The sequence below is a fragment of the Homo sapiens genome, chromosome 7, assembly GCF_000001405.40.
Source record: "Homo sapiens chromosome 7, GRCh38.p14 Primary Assembly".
In the NCBI taxonomy this organism is placed as follows: domain Eukaryota; kingdom Metazoa; phylum Chordata; class Mammalia; order Primates; family Hominidae; genus Homo; species Homo sapiens.
Window position 1 is genome coordinate 51,586,624 of NC_000007.14, and position 7,185 is coordinate 51,593,808.

The 7,185-nt window shown below is 42.2% G+C and overlaps 1 annotated feature.

Annotated features, from left to right (window-relative positions):
• Positions 4,034-4,630: an enhancer, noted in NCBI's record as "NANOG hESC enhancer chr7:51658353-51658949 (GRCh37/hg19 assembly coordinates)". NCBI's record gives its function as "activates a minimal SCP1, AML or CMV promoter by ChIP-STARR-seq in naive H9 embryonic stem cells {active_cell/tissue: H9 hESC(naive)}" and the evidence as "EXISTENCE:reporter gene assay evidence [ECO:0000049][PMID:30033119]".

The window sequence follows — 7,185 nt, forward strand, 5'->3', positions numbered from 1 at the left end:
GGTTCTTTTGTTTTGGAATCATTGTTCTGACGGAATATTCTCCAGGCTGGGCACTTCCACTAGAAGCTTTCTCAGAAAATGAGCTGTAGTCGTTCTTTCCAGTCCTCACCAATTTGAAATGCCTTTCTCCCAGTCACGGAGAAGGAGCTTTGGACAGAAGAAGGTTTCTTTGCAAGAAAGCCAAATGGATTACAACATGTTCCAGCTTTTAGTGGCACGTCAGGATTCCATGGAGTCACATGCTTTTTACTTGGTAAGCCATCTAGTCACTCGGGATACCGATGAGGGCCCCTCACGGTCAGTCAGTGCTTTATTTTCATTAATCCTTCTGGGGGAAATAAGCTGTTTCCATTAAAAATTTTAGTCTTTCTTCACCTCAGGGAAAATTTCTTCTATTTCCTTTACTATCCTTCATGCCTCTTCTGAACTACTGTTATTCACAAATTAATTCTCCTTGCTAAATGTGGAGCATTCCTAGGAGTTTATTAGAAAGGCAGACTCCCAAACCCCTTTCCCGAGTTGGAATCTGTGCTGTATCGAGATCCCAGGGACCTGTGTGCATGTTAAAGATTGAGAAGTGTCACCCTCCATGGCCTGTTCTTCCCATCCCAACTTTTTGCTCATATTATTTGAATGTTTGAATTAAGTGGATGTTCTTTACCTAACGCCCACCTCAGTTTACCATATTTAAAAAGTAGATAACAACAGTATCAATTTCATAGGTTCAGTATGAGTGTAATTGAGTTAATATTGGTAAGGTACTTTAACAATGCCTTGCACGTAAGTGCTAGATAAACATTTATTAAATAAATAAAAATGATTTCTGGTGCTCAATATACTTTGTTGTGAGGAAGCATCCCCTTGGTCCTTCCAGGTTATGAATTCATGACTTTCCAGTTCTGTTATTACATTTAAAAAGTCAGAAATAATGTTTTGCAATATCTTCTAATAGAGGTGCTTCTCAACTTTGGCTAAACTCAGGGAGCTTTTAAAAATCCCGGTGCTCAGGCTGCTGCCCACACCAATTAAGTCAGAGTCTCTGGAGGTGTGAGCTGCATCATTATTTTGTATTCCCCTGCCTGCCAGGTGATAGCATGCAGCCATGTTGCCCTGTACAGGCATTCTCCGCCCTCCTGCACTAGCACACCAGCTGTGTCCTGCCCTGTTCTCTGCAGTGTTTTGCTTCCCCTGCAGGTGAACGAGCTCCAGGACATTTTGGGCTCTCTCCTGGCTTCTGCATTTTTGTTCAGGCTGTTGGGGTCTCCAGGGAATGGGGAAATTCAAAGTAAGAGAAAGTTTTTGTTTATGTGGGTTGTTTTCATTTTTCTTAGGCTGGAGATAAAGGGACAGGCAACTGTTGGCTGATAGGCTGCATTTTTTGGTTTCTTTTCATCTTTTGATTGAGAAGTGTGGGGCATAGGCAAGGGGTTTCTTGGGCTTCTCTAGGTACAGGGACAGGGAAGAGCAGTCCTTTTCCAGCTGTAGGGGAGAGGTCTGTTGGAGAACTGTGCAGTCCCTCTGGAGGGCAGGGGCTGTCACTGGGGTCAACAAGTTTCTCACTGGTCTTGAAATTGGTCCAATTGTTTCACAGAAGTAATATTTACAGGTTTTTGAATAAACATAGAAATTGACTCTCCATCTTAAAACTTGAAACTTAAATTTATCTCATCTGAGTTTCTTCCTCAGGAAACTGACCCTGGCAGGGGACTGAAACTCACTGACTCATGGCATCCAGACAATAGATGCCAGATCCCTCATTCCTCATGATTGCTTCCTTACCCCTCCCTGAGTCCTTCTTGCACATAGCTACATTCATTCCCTGCTATATAAACCCCCAATGTTAGTTAGTTGGGAAGACGAATTTGAGACTTTTCTCCCTATTTCTCTGTTGACATCGCCAGAATAAAAAGCCTTCTTCCCTTGAAATACTCATTGTCTCAGTGATTGACTTTCTGTGCAGCGAGCAATGGGACCTAGCCGAGACCAAATCCTGGCATTCTGGTAACAGTCTGTGTGTAGGGTAAGATAGGACGGGTGTTTGTGCTGACCAGGAGAGTGCAGGGGTCTGCTGGCTGGGACGTTTAGGATGATGTGCTGTCCCTGGAAAGCAGACTCATCCTGGTGATCAGCTCGTGGTTTTTTCCAGACCGTTGAATAACAGTGAAGGTAGCCCTTTCCCTGGCTTACAAGTCTTCTCAAGAACTTTAGCCTGCAAAAGTGCCAGGGATCCTTGAGGAGAAGAGGCAGGTCCAGCCAACTCTTAAGTTCATTTTTTAAATTAGAATTCTCTTGAGAGGGATTTGGGAGAGAGAATAAGGGTCTGTTCCTTGGTTCAGTTTTCCAGAATTCACACAACATACTATTTTAATGGGAACACCTTTCGTGTGTTTCAGAGAGCAAGAATTGGGAAATGAAAAATGTTGGCAGTGAATGGCAGGCATTTTTCATCTAGAAACCTTCTTGGGGATGTCTTAAATGGACAGACTGGCCTTACTTCCGTTATCAGCACATTCTGCAGGGTTTCATCCCTATGGGAAACCTGGGACCTCCTTTGCCACCTAATATGAGGCCCCCAGTGCACCCATCCCATCAGACACCCATGCAGGTGTTGAGGGTAAGCCATTAACTTTGTGCATTAACCATATCTTTTATTGTCTGTATTTGGATGCTTTGACATCTGGGGCTTTGAGGACTCTGGAAGCTAGCCAATTCCTAGAGACACTAAGGGCTAGCCAATCCCTAGAGACACTAAGCAGCTCACACATGAACACGCTTTTCAAATGCAAGCTAACTGCTGTGAACTCAGTGTGTCACCCCAAAATTCATATGTTGAAACTCTAATCTGCAATGGGATATATTAGTAAGTGGGGCCTTTGGGGGGTGATTAGGTCATGAGGGTAGAGCCCTTCTAACAGGATTAGTGGCCTTATAAGAAGAGACATGAGGGACTTTGCTTATTTCCTCTCTGCTCTCTGCTCTATGAGGATACAATGAGGAGGTGGCTATCTGCACACCAGAGTGTGGACCCTGACCAGACACCCGATCTCCTGCCATCTTGATTTTGGACTTTGCAGCCTCCAGAACTGTGAACAATATATATTTGTGGCTTAAGCTGCTCAGCCTATTTATGGTATTTTTGTTATGCCAGCCTAAACTAAGACAACAATCAAACTGGAGCCTACACCCCCAGCCCCGCCTTTATGGGGCTCTGACACTCAGGGTCACCATCCTCCTGCCCTATTCACCCCAGGGCCAGGCAGCAGACAAGTAGGCATAGCCCTATCTGATCCTAAGCCTGTGTACACTGCCATATGCATTTATTCCAGTGGATACCACAGTGAAGCTTCCTACCCACGTTTCCTCACTCCCTCTGCCTCTGGATGGCCCTGGTGCTTCCTTGTGTGGCTCTCAATGGAGTGCCATATTCCTCTTCTTGGGATCTGTGAGAATAGTAGTCTGTCTTTCTGGTGGCAGTAATCTTCCAATCTACTGGCCTTCCCATACCTACATAATAATAAACCTATATTAAAACAGCATATATGCTTGGGAGCATCCAAAGGCAATGTTTCAGCAAGAGACTGGGCTCTCAGGCATCTCAGATTTAGAGATGTTCAAGGATACCTTTTCTATTAACACTTGCACGGTTGATCCAGGGATGCAGCGTCTGTAGCTCTACTCCTTGCTGCTTGACAATGATGTACAGCCACGGTGCTAGGCCCTTAAGTACAATCCTCTAAATCTGTACTTCTTACTGAGCCAGATTATTTGTCTTTCTGACAATATTAGGCCCTGGAAATGTAATTTTTTAAATTAAAGAACTTTATAACATGGTATCCCAGAAGAGCTTCATCCAGTCCAGATGAGGACATTTATCTCCAGTTCTGTCCCCTTGGTGATATTTTAATATTGTATAATTACTTAACAATGTGCCTATTAATTTTAGCAGAATCTCACGACTGCCTTCTTGTGCTACTGCAAATTGGATAGTTTGAGAAAAGTTTTCTTCTGTTAAAATACATGCCACTTTATAAAAATAATTTGCATGAAATTATTACCAAGTTAAGACGTTTTTTCTAGAGGTTTTCACAATTTAAACCATGCATGATAAAGAATTTTGTAACCCATAGGAAGCAGGCTCCACTGAAAGTCTAAAGGTATTTCAGACCTCACGATTGAAAAAGGTTCTGGAGTGAAGAGAGACCAGCTGTCAGGCTGGCTGAACTCAGAGGCTCAGAAGATGTCCCCAGCCTGCAGTTTCTCCATTTGCATCTCACATCTGTCTCTCTTCTGTGTTGCTTCCATTTCCTATTGGGCTGATTCCTCACGGACACAGCAGGTAGTAGCAGCTCTGTCCCCCTCCGGCTCAGGCAAGTGAGATCTTCTGAATGTCTTCCTAGAGGGGAGGAGGCAGGAATCCCAGGAGAAAACGGAAGAATCAGTACTGAAAAAAGAAATAGAAGCTGATTACAAAAATCACGTATATTACTATTTTTTTTTCTGAGAGCAACACCAGCCTAATCATAGTGTTGAAATAATTTCTGATATAGACCAATATTTTGTGATTCCGTATTTTATAAAAGAAGGTGTTTGTAGGAATTTTAAGTAATTTCTACATCTGACCCAGGCAACTAAAGTGTGTCTTGTGCTCCAAATAGAATACCTCACACAAGGAAGTGGGGAGAAATCCTTCAAAGGAAGAGAACAATGAAGATCAAGTTTTAGTGGTCAAGGGAAATAGTCATCGACTCATTCTTTTCTTTATGAATTAACCTTTTCAAGGAAGAGAGATCAAAAGGAAAAATAAATAAATCTCCACAATGGGAAGGCTGTGAATGCAAACAAAAGTCAACCTTTGAACTAGATCGAATACAGAAAGGGGACTGTAACAGCCTAAAGTAGAAAAACAAAAAGAGTAGTAGGAGGGTAGAGGATAGAAGTGTAGATTAGCTTAGCAGTGTTCTTCCTCTGAGATTATATTTCAGCACAATCTACAAATCTACTTGTATATATATAAAGGATACAAATGTAAATATATAAAGTATGTGATTAAGCTTGATATTTTAGGTTAGGAAATAATGAAGAGTATAAATTGTTGACTAGAATTTTTAAAACATATCTAACTGTGACCTGAGATTTTTCTTTTTCTTTTCTTTTTCTTTTTTTTTGAGTCAGAGTGTCATACTTTTGCCCAGGCTGAAGTAAAGTGGCACCATCATGATCTCAGCTCACTGCAATCTCTAATTCCAGTCTCAAGTGATCTTCCCACTTCAGCCTCCCAAGTAGCTGGGGCTACGGGTGCATGCCACCACTCCCAGCTGAGATTTTTCAATTTTAGTTGACTTTTTTTGGGTGAGAGCACTTGGTGGTTCCCCCAAAGACAAATTAAAGAAATTGCTAAATTATGCCATGTTAGATCACATCTTCCTAGGTCCCAAATGACCTACAGTAGCTCTCTTATGATTTTTTTTTTTTTTTGAGACACAGTCTTGTTCTGTCACACAGGCTGGAGTGCAATGGCATGATTTCAGCTCACTGCAACCTCTGCCTCCCAGGTTCAAGCAATTCTTGTGCTTCAACCACCTGAGTAGCTGGGACTACAGGTGTGCACCACTACATTCGGCTAATTTTTGTATTTTTAGTAGAGACGGGGTTTCACCAAATGGTCAGACTGGTCTTGAACTCCTGACCTAGGGTGATCCACCTGCTTTAGCCTCCAAAAGTGCTGGGATTACAGTGTGAGCCACCCCACCCTGCCTCTTAAGGTATTAACACACAAAGAATGTTTCAATGCTGGTTGTGTACTCTAAGTCAAAACCAAAAAGTAATTTCATGGAGTCAGGGATGGTCAGTCTAGATCAGCACTGTCCAGTGGAATTTTTGATGGTGATGGAAATGATTTAGATCCATACTGTCCCAATTTGAGATGCCCAGTGCACCCACCATGCATCTATCCATTCCCTTATCTATGAAATGCAGCTAGTGAGTACCATGGCTTTGGGGCACTTGAAATGTGGCTGGTGCAAATGAGGAGCTGTATTTTAAATTTCATCTAATATTAATGTCAATTTAAATTTAAACAGGCACATGTGACTACCCATTTTGGGGTAGTGCAGGTCAGGAGTAATGACAATATGAAGCACAGAGACATTGGCTGTTTGGAAGTGTTAATAGCTTCCATATCAAGTTAGAAAAAAATATGATGCCAAGAGGTAAAAAAATCCTGCAGCTGGGGTGCATTTTAACCATTGCGTAAAAATACTTTGTATTGTGTCTTTATGCAACACTATCAAGCAGCAAGTGGGAGCCAGACACTGAAAGTAGAGAACATCGTATCTGCCCCACAGCCTCTCTCAGGCTCAGCAAGCTCACACTGCCCTGGGAGTCCCCAGGGATCAGCAGTCCTTACTGATCCTGCGAAGGATTGGCTACTGCGGAACCTCCATAGGCTCCTAACTCTCCGTGGATTCAGCTCAGGCATTATGCTTCCAGCTCAGCCAGTGTATTTGGACGCATGGTGTGTTGAACATTGTTGCTGGAAAGAGATGACACTGCCGAAGCAATTATGCTCTATTTTTTTTTCCAAAAACCCTTCATGCTTAGCAATTTTGAAAATTATTTTATCTGAAAAAATTACATCTCCTAAGTGTGTTGTAGAAGGCTGCAGAGTTGACCTTACAGAAGTGTTGCTAAATAGGAGGATTTTATAACTGGAAGAAAATGTAGAGTCCATCTGCCTGGCCCCGTGTTTGCATGTCACAGGTAAGGGAATGGCGCTTAGAGAAACCGACTTGCCTCTAGCCATATGGTTAATTAGTGGCAGAGATGAACTAGAATTCAATTCTTCTGGTTCTCAGTTTCTTTTTACTACAGAATGTTGTGGCTTATCTGTGTTATATCTTGAATACACATCACATTTTTGACAACATTTCAATGTTAGAGACATGCTACTTTATTAACAGTCCTCACCTAAATCTTCGTTCTCTTCAAATGCCTCCTGAGTAGATACAGCACATTGCTGATGAAAGAATTTAACTTAAAGAACTCACTTTACTGCATTCAAATCAGCCCGTTAAACATTCTGCACTTTAAGCTTTTATTCTAGATTCCATTGTGAGGTGATAATGAGGTGCTGAAAACTAATTAGATCATCAGACAAAACTGTCTGGCCCGCCATCTGCTGAGTCT